The 16,790-nt window shown below is 40.9% G+C and overlaps 1 protein-coding gene across 1 annotated transcript in view, besides 1 other annotated feature; it reads right to left on the bottom strand.

Annotated features, from left to right (window-relative positions):
- RAPGEF5 (Rap guanine nucleotide exchange factor 5) overlaps window positions 1–16,790 on the bottom strand; it is a 238,919-nt gene that overhangs the window by 204,026 nt on the left and 18,103 nt on the right. The gene's annotated exons all lie outside the window — the stretch shown is intronic.
- Window positions 7,424–7,924: an enhancer, noted in NCBI's record as "H3K4me1 hESC enhancer chr7:22369304-22369804 (GRCh37/hg19 assembly coordinates)". NCBI's record gives its function as "activates a minimal SCP1, AML or CMV promoter by ChIP-STARR-seq in naive H9 embryonic stem cells {active_cell/tissue: H9 hESC(naive)}" and the evidence as "EXISTENCE:reporter gene assay evidence [ECO:0000049][PMID:30033119]".

Here is a 16,790-nt window from a genome sequence, read left to right on the forward strand (position 1 = left end):
AGTAGCTGGGACTACAGGCACACACCACCACCATGTCCAGCTGACTTTTGTATTTCTTTTTTTTTTGGAGAGACAGGATTTCGCCCTATTGCCCAAGCTGGTCTCAAACTCCTGGGCTCAAGCAATCCGCTCGCCTCAGCCTCCCAGAGTGCTGGGATTACCGGTGTGAGCTACCGCACCCAGCCTATATTAAATATTTTGCATGCATCACATTACTTAATACTTGAAAAACTATGAGGTAGGTATTATAATTAATCCTATTTTGTAGATGACAAAACTAGACTTAAAAAGGTTAAGAAATCTGCCCGTTTGCAACCTAGCTGCAGTTATTGTCCCATACATGTCTCTTAATATAGAATGTGATCATTTAAGAGTAATGTGACAAAAAAGTGCATCTAACTGCAGTAAGAAGTCACAAATAGTATCGGCTAGACCCAGCAGTTCTCAACCCTCGATGTAAATAGAACCATCTGGGAAGCTGAAGAAAAACAAATAAAACAGGTACTAAGGACCCACCCCAAACATACTGAATTAGAATCTCTACGAGGAGACCTGGGCAGTCTTTCCTCAAATTTCCCAGGTGGTTCTAAGGTGCAGCCAGGTTTCAGGAGAACTGTAAAAATAAGTGATTGAGAATGGCAAATTGAACCTCTCCTCATCCACTTTAGCTATGGGGCTTGGAGCACTGCTCAGACATCGCCTCCTGCACATGCCTTGCTGAATGAAGAAGAGGTACTGTCATTTACCAATAGCATGGGGATCCGTGGCTGAACCTCCAAGTGGCTTGTGTAGAACAAAAAGCCACTGTTTCAGCAAATCCTGTCCTGCACCTGCTCATGTTGTATGTGTTTTCCATATCTAGACATAGCCCTAAGCTGAAGTATCTTCATGTCTGCACAGTAGCGTAGTACCCACATACCTTCAGAAAGAGTCTACCCTTTTAATGGCATCCATGGCATTATACTTAATTTTGACTTCCCATTGTTAAAGGGCACTATTCTAGTAGAAACATGTTTCCCTACTTAAAAGCTAAGTAGAAAATGAAAGTGGGTTCAAGGAGGACTTATAAACATTTCACAAACCTTTCACTGCAAGGGAGATAAATCAGCAAGAACCAACAGCTTCTGGGAAAATATACACAACAGATACAACAGAAACAAACCCCAAAGCTTCATCAATTTGATTTTATTTAGTTCTTGGGAATATTTCTTTTGGGCTGTGTTTACAAACAAGAGAATAGTTTTGCCTACCAATATGGGCCTCCCTGGTTAATGCAATCACAGAGAAACCTTTAAAATTTGAGAATTAAGTAACTAAAGAATTAGGAAAAATGGCTTAATTAGCGAGCTTACTTATCTCCACTTGTCACTGAATTTCCTAGTTTTATTAACAAGAACTCATCCAGTCATACCTGGACTCCAAGATGGACCCTCCCTACAGCAACCAACGTGAAGAAGCTCCCACTGGCCAAATCTGGGATGATTTGAACAGCAAATAAATGAATTATTGAATTATAATTCATAAAATGAATAACCATGAGTCCATACTGATACAAGCAATTGAATAAATAAATAAATGAGGATCAGGAAGAAAGGACAGCCCTTCCTCATGGGATTATTTTAATTACTAAATGCAGTAAAAAGAAGAAAACAGAAAACCACCTTAGGCAAACACCATAGTAATAAATGTTGCAGGCAAAAATCATCAACAGATGCTAACATCAGTGGACAAACCTATGATGAGACATAGGATATTTGCATAAGTATCAAAGTATCTCCCGCCGAAATACTTAGTAAGTACACAGGAAAAAATAACAACTGTACAGTGGAGTTTAGCTCACACCACTTTAAACAAATGATAAAAATTATCGCCTATCATGAGACATGTTGACATCTGCCTCCTGATATGATGAACAGAGAAAGGCACTTTTATGCTGTTTTTGTCAAAATGCATACCTGAATATAATGACAAAATATCAGACAAACTCAAATTGAGGGGCATTCTTCAAAGTAACTGGCCTGTACTTTGCTAAAATTGTCAAGGTTAACAGGGACCAATAAAAACTAAGGAGCTATCCCAGATGAGAGGAGACCAAAGGAGCCAGACAATTAAAGGCATTATGTGATCCTGGACTAGAATAAGGAACTTAGCAGGACACATGGCACATGTGAATGAGGTCTATATTTTAGTTAATCGTGTGGATAAGTGCTGGTTTTGACAATTGTGCTGTGGTTATGTAGAAATGTTAACATTTGGAGAAGCTGAGTGATGCTTATAAGTGAACTCCCTTTGTACTAGTTTTGCAACTTTTAAGTCTAAAATTACTTCAAAATAAAAAGGTTCTTTAAAAAAAGAATAATGACCTTCTTCCTCCCCACAAATGTGGTCTCAAAAATTATTCAAATATTATCTCAAAATACAACATTTATTTCTTTTCTGAAAGCTGCACCGCCCCTCCATAACTTCCTTGGGCTGCACAACAGAATGACTCTCATGGCTGCCCTGCCCACTCAGGTCTCTGGCATCTTCGCACGAATTAATCTCCCGAAAACACCTCCCTACATGTCACCTTATTTTTAACACAACAAACATATATTTGTAAGTTTACTCTCCCTGAGTGCTCACAGTGTTCCAAGTCTTTAACCTAGTGATCCACACCTTCCTTACCTGTCTACAAAGTTCCTGCTGCACTTCTCTACAGACACTCTGCTTCAGCCAGGCAGGTTGTCTCCTTTTTATGAGACAAACCACATGCATTCCCCCTCCATGCCTGAGCCCTTGCCATGATCTCTGCTCTGTGCACTTTCCTGTATTTCTACATTCTGCCCTACAGTCAATCCACACAAACGCTGCATGAAGTCCAACCAAGCCCTGAGCCTCCCATGATTAATCTCTTCCCCCAAACATTCTAGCACTTTCCATATTTGCCACTGAAATATAGTGCCTCCTGGCCCCATTTGCAGGTATATGCCATCTCTTTTCAACCAACCTAACCCACCAGAGGGAGTCATGCCTTCTATAGATCTAGGACCATCAGTGTGGAGAAGGAGCTAACCGCTGACTAGCCAATAGTGATTTATTTCCAACATCACACTGTCTGATAACCTGCCAAGTGGTAAAGCATGATATTACCACCTCAAAAGCTATGAAACCCATCGCCACCACTGCCCCACTCCAATCACCACCTATCCTTTCCCCTCATTTCCATCCCTGCCTTAAGTGGTCATGCATAGAGAGTGCAGAGTGTGCATACAGAGCTAGCTGAGTATACACAGAGGGAGTAGATATGACTCTATAAATTATAAATATATGTAATTTTTTAAAGACAGGGTCTTGCTCTGTCTCCCAGGCTGGAGTGCAGTGGCACAATCATGGCTCACTGCAGCCTTTATTTCCCAGACTCAAGCGATCCTTCCACCTCAGACCACAAGTAGCTGGGACTACAGGTGCACACCACCATGCCTGGCTAATTTTTTATTTTTAGTAGAGACGACGTCTCACTATGTTGCCCAGGCTAGTCTCAAACTCCTGAGATCAAGCAATCCTTGCACCACAGGCTTCCAAAGTACTGGGATTATATGAGTCACCGCACCTGGCTAAATTTTATATACTGAATGATTTATGAGCTTGTTTGAAAACTTAATGATCCACTTGAATACCAATTATTCCTTTGTAGTGAAAAACATGGAAATTGTGTGGGGTCGTCAACAGGAAAAATGTTCTCTTTTCAATTCCCACATTACTCACAGGTCAGAAATGAGTGAAAGAAATAAACCTTGGAGTAGCCACCTTTCTTCCCTTCTTTGGCATCTGGATATAAACTACTGTCTTAAATGTGTCTTTTCAATTTGTACATAGATTTTTGAAAGCTGCAGAACAATAAAGGTGTGATAGTGTAGGGTCTTCTGATGAAAGGAAGAATTCAGGATACTTGTTCCACTTTTTATTTTTCAATTACTCAACTAGGATATATGAAGAGCTTCAGAAATGTAGCAGCAGAATGGACCTCCGGGGGTCACCAGGCCTTCCTCTAAACGATGTGAGACAGTGGGGATGGAGATTAGGAGTCCACAGACCAAACCCGGTTGCCACCTGTTTCATAAATAAAGTTTTATTGGAACACTGTGTGTTTACATATCAACTCTGGCTGCTTTACTGCTACAACAGCAGAGTTACATAATGGCCATCAAAGCCAAAAGTATTCACTATCTGGACCTTTACAGAAAAGGTTGGCCAATCCTGGTCTCGATTATCAAACTTTAAAGAACAGGAAGAGCTGTATAATCTCCCAGGCAATATATTCTAGTGCTTAACCAGTTATTAGTAAGAACTCTTAATTTTGAATCAAAATTATCTCCCATTGCAATTTAAGACTATTTCCTCCCAAACTATTTAAGGCACAATTCCATCTCTACTTAGGTTACATAAAAGCAAGAAATGGTAGCTAGAAGTTGTTTTGGCCTAAGATTAAAACAAAAAGTAGAAGTACTAGTAAAGGGTACAAAGTTCTAATTATACAAGATACACTATAAAGCAAAGCACCTATGGTTAACAACACTGTATTGCACACTTAAAAAGTCTGCTGAGAGAGTAGATCTTACGTTAAGTGCTCTTACCACAAAAAAAATATTAAAGAGGATGAGAGGAAACTTTTGCAGGTAATGGATAGGTTCGTGGCAAAGTTTATTTCCAAACTCAAGTTGTATACATTACATATGTACAGCTTTTTGTATGTCAATCATACCTTAATAAAGTGGTTAAAAAAAGCAAATGAAAAAGGAGCAATTAGTTTCACTAACTCCTTTTAAATTGGGAATTTTCAATCTATAAATAATCTGGACAATGCTTGACTCCAGAAAACTGATGCTAAAGGCCAAATATACAAAAGTACTAGTAAATCCATAAGTGTAAAGTGTTGTTTCAAATATCTGAATCTTGCACATAACACTCTCTCCGCCTAGAATGCCTTTCTACTCATGTTTAAATTTTCATATAGATTGTAAAAATACATTCATATGCTCAAATCTCCTGTTAGAATTTATGTGTTTCTAAAGCATTTTGGATTCCAGATTCTTATTTACATTTGAATTTCCCCTGATTCATTACATGAATCTTAAAGATAGGATCTATATTGTGCTCATACTTATAAATGTCCAGTGTCCAACATGATGCATTCTGTGTAGCTAATTATCATTAAATGTTTATAAAGGAAAAAAATCTAGCCCTTTTAATACCTTCCTTAACGCTCTTCACCTTCCAGAGTTTCCAGTTCCTTCCTCTGTGCACTGCATCCTCTCCTCCCGGGAGGCAGCCTTGCATCACTGGTAAGAGTGGAGCTCTGGGTTCACCTTGCTTGGATTCAAAGCTCATCAGCACCACTTAAAAGTTGTGTCCTTGGACAAGTTATTTAACTTCTTTGTCCCTCTGTTTCTACCTCTTTAAATGAGTGAAATAAAATCTACTTTTAAGGTTGTTGTAAAAACTAAATGACTTAAAATTGTGATTCCCAAACTTCAGCATGCATCAGACATCAGAGACACCTAAAGAGCTTATTTAAAAGATTGCTGGGCTCCAACCCATGGATTTTGGTTCAGTAGGTCTGGGGTGAAGCCTCAGAGTCTCCAATTCTAACAAGTTCCCAAAGGATCAACCACTAATGTAAAATTATATAAAGAGCTTAGAACAGCACCTGCTATGTAACAAGTGCTTGGTGAATGTTACCTATTGTTATTGTTGAGCACTCAAGAAATTTGGAAATTTTAGTATTACTATGTACATGAATGTGGGTCTCCCCTACTAGACCGTAAGCTTTTCAAGGGACAGGATTATATACTTTTCACCCACATCCCTAGGACGTGGCAGAGTGCCTGTCACAAAGCAAGGCCAGTGGGACCCTAATAGAATTCTCTACATACCAAGAGAGAACCCTCTTACCCAAGGTTCCTCCTGGTCAGAAGGGAAAACAGGATGTGTGAGAAAGAAAATCCTTCTCCTGGAAAATTCCCAGGCATTTCCCATCAAGCATCTTTTGGACATGGGCTATTTCATTCACCGGCTTGAGCCGTGAGGGTTAGGTCCCATTTCCCACACCTGGGAGTCTGGAAGAGCTAAACTGGAACTATTCAACTGTTATTAGCTTCTTGGGACCAGAGTCCTTTCCCAAATGGGTACAGAATTTCTAAGGGCTTCTGCCAGTGTAACAACCTGCCATCACCACTGTTTAGAACCCTAAGTACAGTCAATTTTTGTATATACAAACATTTTACCTGGACAGTGACAAGTGGAAATCCTGTAATTGACACTAAACGTATACTATACCTACATACATACCTACATACATACATTTATTTATCTAAACATCTGTTACCAACTCAAAGCACATTTACTGGTGTTAACAGAAAACAGCAAATTAAAATGCTATCCCAATGTGTAATACCACCACTTGACAATTCCAAAACCCTGCTCCCACAGTCTTCTCTACTGGCCTCCCACCAATGACTTATCAGATGTGATGTTGCCTCTTACTTTCTTGGCGGAGGAGGTCAAGCAGACACAAGCCCTGGCCCCAAAAGCAGGATGCTGTGCAGCTAAGATGAACAACAGGGCAAAGAGGCCAACAAAAGAGTCACCTGATCTTCAGACTGAAGCAACCTGATTGCCTCAAACTTACTGGATGTATTTTTGCCTCCTCTCTAACTTTTTTCACTATACAGGGGGAAAGTCATATTCAGGTTCCAATTTACGTGTATTCTGCTCTGTAAGCTCCAAGAGCAACTTAAAGTTATTTGTGTTTACTTTTCCTGTTTAAGCATAATTACTGTAAGAGGTGCTTCATAAGGGATTCTATTTTTAGAATGCTCTCAATTTTTAATTTTAATCAAACTTCATTTTAAACACCAACAACTGCACTCTTTCTGCTTTCAATCTGCATGAAATTAGGTAGCAAACTTAATTTCTTCTTTTATTCAGCTAAGCTAGAGTAAATCACAACCCTAATTTTTTTCAAAGAGGCCCCTTTTAAAAGTATGTTTACACTGATTGATAATCTGTTTCTAGATGAAAGATCTAAAGTTAATAAAGTGTCCTCCACTCCAAAAGTAGATAACTAGGGAATCAGTCAACAAAATATATATGAATTACAGAGGAAGGCACCTGTTGCTAGGGTATGTTTACTACTTAAAAGGATTCCCCCCACTCTGGTTCCTCCTCCCTTCCCGCAGTCTAGTCCAGACACATGATGAAACATTATGCAGCCATTTCAGATGTTTTAAAGAGTCTTAACACATGGAAATATTTTGATGAAAAGAGAAAAATAAAAATAAGTAAAAGTAAAGAGACAGTATAAGATCAACAATACCCAATAAACAAACAGAATGGAATACACCAAAGCGCTAACAGAATGGGTTCTGTGTCATAGCTAGATTGTTGTTTTTCCCTCTTCCCAAACTTCCACATTTTTGATGTTGGATATTGTCAGGTCCAGGGTCAGGATCCAGCCCATGCTGAGGTCCGAAGGCAATGGGTGGATGAGTGGCAGACAGGTAAAAGAACACTCAGGGGGCCACAGGCAGGTACAAGATATTTTTATTCAGCAGTTGTCTTAGACTGTCTCTGTCTCCACTAACTGCTCCCGCCGCTCCCACACACAGCTGCATGGCCAGCTCTCTCTTCAGGGTCAGCAACTTAACTCCTTCCCTCTGGGCACAAGCAAACAGAGCTGTGTCCTGGCTCCCCACAGTCTGTCTACAAGACAGCTATAAAACAATATATAAAAAAGCTATGAAGCAACATAACATTTCCACTCTCATAGCCCTGTCACCTCCAACCCTATAAAGGAAAGACAAAGTTCACAGATAAAAACGATGACTCGACACATAAAGGATTAAGAACAAGTCTACAGACAGAAAGAAATCCACAGGTAAGTTAGCTCTCATGTAACTGCAGTTATGGATGGGGGAAAGTGAGTTAAACCTCTAGGTAAAGAGCTGAGAAAGCAGGACAAGGCTGGGGTCTGCTGGGAAGGATGTTGGCACTAATGCTCCCTTTCTGCCCAGTGAAGTCCATTTGGCTTTCTGCCCATCCTGAAGAGATGTAAGCACAGAGGAGACCATGGATGTAAGGGAAGGAGCCCTGTGCAAGTGTAAAGGCAGACAGAAGACAGTGATAACCTATGGTAGGGAAATTTCAAACAGCAAAGCAAGAAGAGATGAGGCAGCCCTTCCATTTCTAAATGGCCCTTTGTAGGTAAAGGATACAAACTAGGCTCTGCCCAAGTTCCTGTTCTAAGAACATCATTGTTCGGAGTGTCTTGTGGCCCATTTGCTAAAGTGCTTAGGATCACTTTCTCTTGCCATTAACCTCTGAATAATCAAATCTAACAACATCTGAAGAAAACAATTCAGAAAGTAAATACTGCAAAGTCAAATATCAGTAACTCAGGAGTCCCCCGTATTTAGATTCCATCATGTCTATACGCAACCAGGTTCTATATCAGCTTCAGAAACAGGAGTGTGATATATGCAATGGATTATAAGACAACAGCTACATTTAATACCTGACCTGAAGGCACATGGTCAATGTCGTTTTTAGTAAAATCCAAACTCCCTCTCTGACCCAGAATACAGGTATTGCATTAGCTACTCACTCTGGGGTATGTAAACCGCATATCAATTTTTAAATTAAAATCATGATCCTCACATATAGGACGCTAGCTTCATTAGAGCTCCACAGGCAAGGATTTCAGCTTTGATCCCTGCCCCACAGCCCTCCACTGTCCACCACATTCCCTCCTGAGTCCCGAGTGCCAACTCTCCAGTTCGACACCAGAGAACGTCAGTACTCAGGCTTCAGCATGCAAACTGCGACACAGATAGCAACCCGTGGGAGGAAACGGGGTTTTAAAGAACCCTGAAATACAGATTCAATTAACTACTTTTCCACACAGATCTTTCACTGAGGGTAAGATTAAATCACCAACATAGTTGTTTTTAAAGCAGTTCCTAAGCTGGACTGAAACTATTTTAAAAGTTGTAGATGGAACATAAAATGGAATGATTGAATCTTATTTCTTTTTTCTAAGATATGCCCCTCTCCAAGGTGGAAGGCCCACAGAAGCTCGATCTTTCTATACCCTCTTAAGTCTGATATTACGTGTGTCCTTGAAATAAAAGGTCAACACCCCTTTAAAAAGTTACAGGAGGTGGGCCAAGCACGGTGGCTCACGCCTGTAATCCCAGCACTTTGGGAGGCCGAGGCGGGCGGATCACGAGGTCAGGAGATCGAGACCATCCTGGCTAACATGCTGAAACCCTGCCTCTACTAAAAATACAAAAAATCAGCCAGGCGTGGTGGTGGGCGCCCGTAGTCCCAGCTACTCGGGATGCTGAGGCAGGAGAATAGCGTGAACCCGGGAGGCGGAGCTTGCAGTGAGTGGAGATCGCACCATTGCACTCCAGCCTGGGTGATAGAGCGAGACTCCATCTCAAAAAAAAAAAAAAAAAGAAAAAAGAAAAAGTTACAGGAGGTACCAAGTTGACCAAGAACATTCAAGAAAGAAGGAGTACATTCAGAACAGGGACAGCAGTAAGCAGGTTACCAGTGATTTCCTTCTATTTCTATTGCATAATCCAAGAATCATGACTTAGAGGAAACTTGTTGAAAGTAATGGAAAAACTTAGAACATCAAAGTATTGTTAAAATTCTAGGGTAAAAACATTATATCCTTCCAGCTTGAAAACCACATGATTCTGGAGATTGGTTGCACAACATGAATGTACTTAACAATACTTAACTGTACACTGAAAAATGGTTATGATGAAAAATTTTATCTTATGTGTATTTTATGACAATTAAAAGCAAAAAAAAATTTTAACTATATTTGACAGATTCTGAAATTACAAATTTACTTGCAAATGATAATCTCCAAAGTTAACTAAAAACAAAACTAAAGCCTCCCGGTTGAAGGTTCTCTACCAGGGCACTCGAACTTTGCCTGTAAATTGCTGTGCCTCCACGCCCTGGGGAGATTTAATGCCCTGTCAAACCTTCTTCATTTCAGTAAGGTTTTCAATGGCAACCTTAGAAAGGTAATCATGAGCAAATGAAGCTCCAGGAGTTAATTAGCACAATTGTTTCCCAATGTTTTATTTTTACATATGTACTTAAATGCAGTAAAAAAGTCATCATATAAATAAAGCCCTAAATACAAAGGTAAAATGAGGAGTGTTCCACCTACAGAGAACAGGATGTTCTTCTTTCTGTGAAAAGCACTTTCTCCCTCCACTCTCACCCACATTTCTGTAGTAAAGATTCCATGCTAACAAGAGGTTTTCAACAACTGGTTCCCATTTCTTATTATGGACGAGATTTGACACACACAGGAAACTTGTTTTCGAAAGCTTTCCAGTTATAAATTAATTCCATGACTCATGGGAGGCAATTTCTTTCACATAGTCCTCACCTAAGTCCTATGTATCTCAAGCTGGACAGCAAACACTTCTCACAATCACAGTCCTATTAACCAACAGGTGGCACATTAAATCTTTAGCCACCTTCTCTCTGGCTTTCTTACACCCTTCTACGCCTGAGGGAGCAACCCACTACAGGGTACACAGACACACAATTGGAAGAACCTGTGGCTGTTTTCGTAAATCACTGGCTTTCAAACTTTTTTTTACTGCAACCCACTGTAAGGAGTATATTTTATATGGTTACCCAGGTCACACAAACATATGTGTGTAGGTACATAGCTGAAATAAAATGCTTTTAATCATCTCTTACTCTGCCTACCAAGTGAGATCAACTCTGAGCTCATTATGTGATACAGATATATATTCATATTAAATGCTAACATTTCACTATAGTGATTCTATAATTCTCATGTTAAACTGTCACGAAAAAAACTTTTTAAAAGTTCCTTTGAGTCTTCAGATCTTCAGTAGATAAATATTTAAGTATTTACATATTTAAAATCAGGTTGAACTGCATGACTATATACCCAGATACAGTGGGGGGTCAGGGGGAGGAGGTGAAAGAGAGAGGGCAACACTAACCAACCTTGGGCCCAAAACAGCATATTCAGTGCATGGGATATACTTAGTCATTAATGTTTTTTTAAGTAAAGCTTCCCTACAAACAGACTCTGATCTAGGTTTGCCAGAATAACCAACAGTCTTAACAATCTTACCTGAAGGGAAAGATTATTTCAACAAAAGAATGGACAGCTGTAGTTTTCTTTGAGCCAAATTTAAAGAATGAAAAGAGTATTTATTACAGGAATCTCCCATTCTTTTTTATTTCTAAATATTAATGCTGCAATTTTTAAAAAGAGGGGGACCTCTAAAAACCTTCATAGGGGTAGGATGGTGTAAGGTATATGAATGTGCTTTGGTCAAGGAATAGGCTGAGGCACACATCCAGGCCTGCATGACTTGGTGGGATTTGCGCGCAGGCACACACCTCCACTTGTTATATAACCTGTTTGTGTAAGCTCATATTTGGCTTGGAGCCACTATTGTTTGGAAAAGGTATAACTGCCGTGCTGGCACTGTATAGGTGCTCTTGTGCTGGCACCCAGAGAAACAGAGAGAGAACCAGAGCTGTCTGTCTTGCAGATGGACAGAGGGGAGCCAGGGCACGGCATGGCTTGACATGGCTCGTGCTTGTGCCCCAAGAAACGGTTAAACTACTGACCCTGAAGGCAAAGGAGAGTCGGCTGCGCCGTTGTGCATGGGAGCGGCTGGCTCAAGCAGCCAAGACAGAGCGGACAGTGTTAAGAGAGCTGCTAATGAGAGAGCTGCTGAATAAAACTACATTTCACCTGCCTACAGCGCCCCGAGTGTTCTTTCCAGTATCGCCAATCCACCCACACCCCACGGACCTCAGCATGGGCCCGAGCCTGACCCTGAGCATGACATTTGGGTTAGTCGTGGACCTGACAGATGGGTTTGTCTACCACAAGAGTTTCCATCTTGGCTTTTTCTCATTCAACAAAACAATAGGAGGAAAGAGAAAGAGAAGTGTTAAAAATGATCATGAAAACATAGTATTAATAACACACACACACAAAGTGGCAGAAAAAAAATGAATACACTATTCCTAAGGGCAGCAGTGTAAAACTAAAGCCCAAAATGTAGACATTGAGGTCTTTATGTATCCTCTGTCGTTAATCATGTTCCAGAATCAATGTTTCCGAGAGAACCATGAAGAACTGAAACAAAGTCCTTGAACAAAGATTGGCAATTTCTGATAAGGGAAAAGCTAAGGCAAGCAAAGAAGAGATTGTGGCATAGAAGGAACACCTGCATCCTGGACAGCAGCCTGGCATTTATTTAGCAGCACTGCCAACATACATATGTATACATATAAGATCACTTAGCAGTATGTATTTACCAACCACTGATCTACTGCTTATTATTTTCCACTCACTGTTCTAAGCACTTGTTATTAATATTAATGCATTTATTATTCATAACTATCTTTGGAAACACAGAGAGGTTAAGTCACTTGCCCACAGTCATTCAGTGGGTGAGGGTCAGGGAAACCCTGGATAGCTGGATCCAGCTTTTACATTTGTAATCTCTACATTCTTCCTATCCTTCTCTGAAGAATGCTCTTGGTTCCTGCTCCATTTGAAGCCTACCTCTCCAGCCGTCCAATAATTCTGCAAGCCAACCTGCATCTCAACATCCTTCCAGTAATTTCAGAGTTGGTCTCTTGTTTGCAATTAAGACCCCTGACAGATTCAGTCCCGAATCCAGTTACAAAGAAGAGTGTTATGTGAACACAAAAGCCTCCACTGTATCCTGCCCCAATAGCAAGTCAACTACCTGAGGAACACTGAGAAGAGGCAATGGGTGGGGATAGGCAGGGGCATGCATGTTTATAAACGAGCCAAATCCTTACCTTACAATCAAGAGCACTTGCAAATTTATGAAAGCAAGAAATAGTGGTGTTCATTTTTAGTTTCAACGAGGCAAGTGGATTTCATGTGATCAGCTACACAAGTTCACAGTTTTCTACCAGACTCTACTCTGACAAACAGCTATCAGTATCTTTAAGCCACAGTTCCCTGGACTTCACACACATAGAAATCTAAGAACTGGGAAAGGCAGAGGTAGATAAAGGGAGTAAACTCTCTCCTTTTTATCCAGTCAGTTCCCTCTCTTCCCACAAGAGCTATCTTCTACCTCATCTTCCCACACCTACCTCAAGGCTAGGCTTGAGGACAACTGGCACCATGCTGACTGGGCAATGAAGGTGGAGACCTGGCACTGGGCAGGTGCAGCCTGGGGACAAGGTGGGGTGGGTGGGGCATCTACTTCCATTTTCCTGGAGGCCACAAAGCCGTATCAACTCTAGGGTGGGGGGACACACAGAATGGTCAGACTGCCATCTAGTTCTCCTTCCCTGAACCAAAACAAGAAACAAGCAAAAAAAAAAAAACAACAAAACAACAACAACAACAACAACGAAACTTCCAAAGCTGTCCTAAAGGCAAATATCACCATTTAGTCATTTAAAAAGCAACTCCTTTCCTTCTCTGTCACATAAGGTAACTTGCACAACAGAAACTACTTTTCATACAAACATGCAAACGACCACACTTATAATTTCTTAAATAAGAATATTGGGAATCTAAGAGACTTTCTGTATAGAAAAGACAACCTTTGGTCATATTTCTGACAGACTTCTAGTCCTCTCAACACCAGAAACCTATTTGGTGTTCTTGTTGATTTTTAGTTTTTTGTTCAAACAGAAAGCAAATTACTGAATCCTAAGCATCCCTTCCTTCCCAACGCCCAGACTTCTTATTCCCAATGCCTCCATCTTAGATCAGGCCCTCAAGCCCTATCACCCGGGCAACAATCCCTAAGTGACTTCCCTGCCTTAACCTCTCCTTTCCCCACTCTGCACACTCTTCAGAAAGAGACCAATCTTTCTAAAGAAATGCTTTTGTCAACTGATGGTGACTGCCACCTTACATCTGTTACATCATGTCCACATATAGTCTCACCTTTATTCTGCCCCAAACCATGTATCTACTACATGAAGTGGTTCCAAAATGCTCATGTGAGGCACAATACGAATAAGGGCAATGAAATTTAATTTCATAAAATTAAATTTACTTAATTATGAAGAAGGGTCCTTTATTCTGGTGGTACAGAAACAGGCTATACCCTACTGGGAGAAGACTGAACTTAAGCAAAATAAAGAAGTTAATTATCAATTATGTATGTTAGACAGTGGTAGAGGAATAAGGCATGGAGAGGAGGTTGATGTTACAATTTTAAGTACAGTGGCCAAGGGGTCTTCAGACAGCCAGCTGGGAAGCGGTCCCCAGAGAAACTCCAACCAGCCTGTGCACTGAGAGGAGTGTGCACTGGGATGGAGCCACAGAAGTTCGTGCCATTTGCAGTGGGGAGGAGCCTGGCCCCTCCTCTTCCTGGGTGGAACCTGGGATTCAATCTGCCAGGCGGGAAGTGCACAAGCAGAACTCTGGCTTTGCAGAGGATCCCTGTTTCCCTTTTCACCCAATAAACCCTGCCCTCCTCACCTTTCAAATTGCCTGTGAGCCTAATTTTTCGTGGCTGTGTGACAAGGACCCCCATCTTTAGCTGAGCTAAGGAAAGAGTCCTACAACAGGCTCACAGAGAATAGCCTTTGAGCAGAGAGGTGAATGGATATCTTGAGAAAGGGCTTCAGACTGAGAAAACAAGTGCACAGGCCCTGAGGTGGTGTCACTGCCCAACATGTTCATCTTGCCTGCTGCCCAGATAGAGCCGAATTGTCAAGACAGGGGAATGGCAATACAGAAAGAGTATAATACGCGTCAAGCTGGCTAAATGGGAGACTAGAATTTTGTTATTACTCAAACCAGCCTCCCTGAAAATTTAAAGGCTAGACTTTTTCAAAGACAGTTTGGTGGGCAGGGGCTACGGTATGGGTGCTGCTGGTTTGGTTGGGGATGTAATCGCAATCATAGAGGTGTGGAAAATGGTCCTCTAGTGCTGACTCTGCTTCTGGCTGGGGATAACAGGACCAGTTGTCAAGCGTTGTGGGTCCAAGTGGGGCCATCAGGTCATTAGAAATGCAAAAGTTTTAAAAGACATCTTAAAAGGCCACTCTTAGGTTCTACAACAGTAATGTTATTTACAGGAGTAATTGAGGAAGTTGCAAATCTTGTGACCTCCAAAACGGCTGATAATTGGTTAACTATACCTACATCTTAGCAGAATTCAGGACCCCCTCATAATCCTAAACTTGTGGCCTTTTATTAGTTTTATAAAGGCAGTTTAGTTTGGGGAAGAGCTATTATCATTTAAACTATCAACTAAATTTCTCCCAAAGTTAGCTTGGCCCACGGCCCGGAATGACCCAGGGCAGTCTGGAGGTTCAAGGCAAGATAGAGTTGGTTAGGTCAGATCTCTTTCACTGTCATAATTTTCTGTTACAATTTTTACAAAGGTGCTTTCAGTGGGACCATGTCCAGCGTGATGGGCAAAGCCAGTGGGGAATACAGCAGTGTAAGAGGACAATACCATGGCTCTTAGATCTGAGGAAGAGACTCTTTTGTTTATAAAGCACATTGTTTGCAATGTTAACACACCACTCACATTTATATCTAATGTAAAATATGTCAGAAATCTCTGAGCAAATCAAAGTACCTATATGCAACCTTTGTTGCCTAATAACTAACCCTGATTGTTATTTTACACTTGGCTTTGTTCTTTTCATACTGCAGCAGCAAGTTTAATCTTTTGAGATCAAAGAACTGTCAGTAGCATAATTGCTCAGTAAAAGTATTTTTAGCAAGTCTTCATTAGAAGGATACTTACCTGCTGCATTTCATTTGAACTAGTGGATCTATTCTACTGCTGACAGATTGCTTTAATTTCTTCCTTGAGGTCTCAAAACCAGGTAAGCCTATTTCTTAGAGTTACAACCCAAATTATTAGTTTACCTGTTACGCAGCACATAAAATAAGTCAGACACCAACCTTACCAAGGTAATGTAGCTCTAACTCTGGTGGGTAGACAACTCCCAGCTCTTAAATCACCTCCACACTGAAGTTTTGCTCTCGTTCCAAACTCAGAGAGGTAGATTCTATATCTTTGCACTCCCCAAAGTATTTTCTGTTATTTTATGTTCTAACACTATAGTTACACTATGTATTTTGAAATTTGTAAAATTTTATAAAACTAAACCATAATACAATCAACATGTTTACCTTCCCCACTGGACTTTGAGTAGCTAAGGACTGGGATAATTCCTTTAGTCATTTGTGTATTCTCAACGTCTAATGGCTGAGGTAGACATTCCTAACATTTGTGCTTCTTTTATCCTTCAAGACTCCTGGGAGGATGACACTTTGTTGGTCCCTTAAATGACTGAGACCATGTAACATGCTTTGACCAATGAAATACAAGCAAAAGTCACCTTGGCCAGAGTATTTAAAAGCCCATGTGCAATTCTCCATTATTTCTTCACATGCTGCATTCATTGTGGAGGAAGACGGTGACAGGGAAACATACACACAGAGCTGCTGTTACAGTTGGTAGCTAGTCAGACATGAGCAGGGCAGAAGAGGCGCCCCCACCACCAGGAATGTCAGAAGACCATCAGGTGAGGATCAGGCGTTTGTTAACTGTCTCTAAAATAATAATTGATCAGAGCCAGCACCAGGGAAAGGCGGCCTCCCAATTCATAGAAAAAACCTGAAGCTGGTGATCAGCAGCTTCCAGATAAGATCTCAGGAGGTGGGTGAGTGGGCTCAAGCATGCGCACTAAGA

This window comes from Homo sapiens, chromosome 7 (genome assembly GCF_000001405.40).
Source record: "Homo sapiens chromosome 7, GRCh38.p14 Primary Assembly".
NCBI classification, from domain to species: Eukaryota; Metazoa; Chordata; class Mammalia; order Primates; family Hominidae; genus Homo; species Homo sapiens.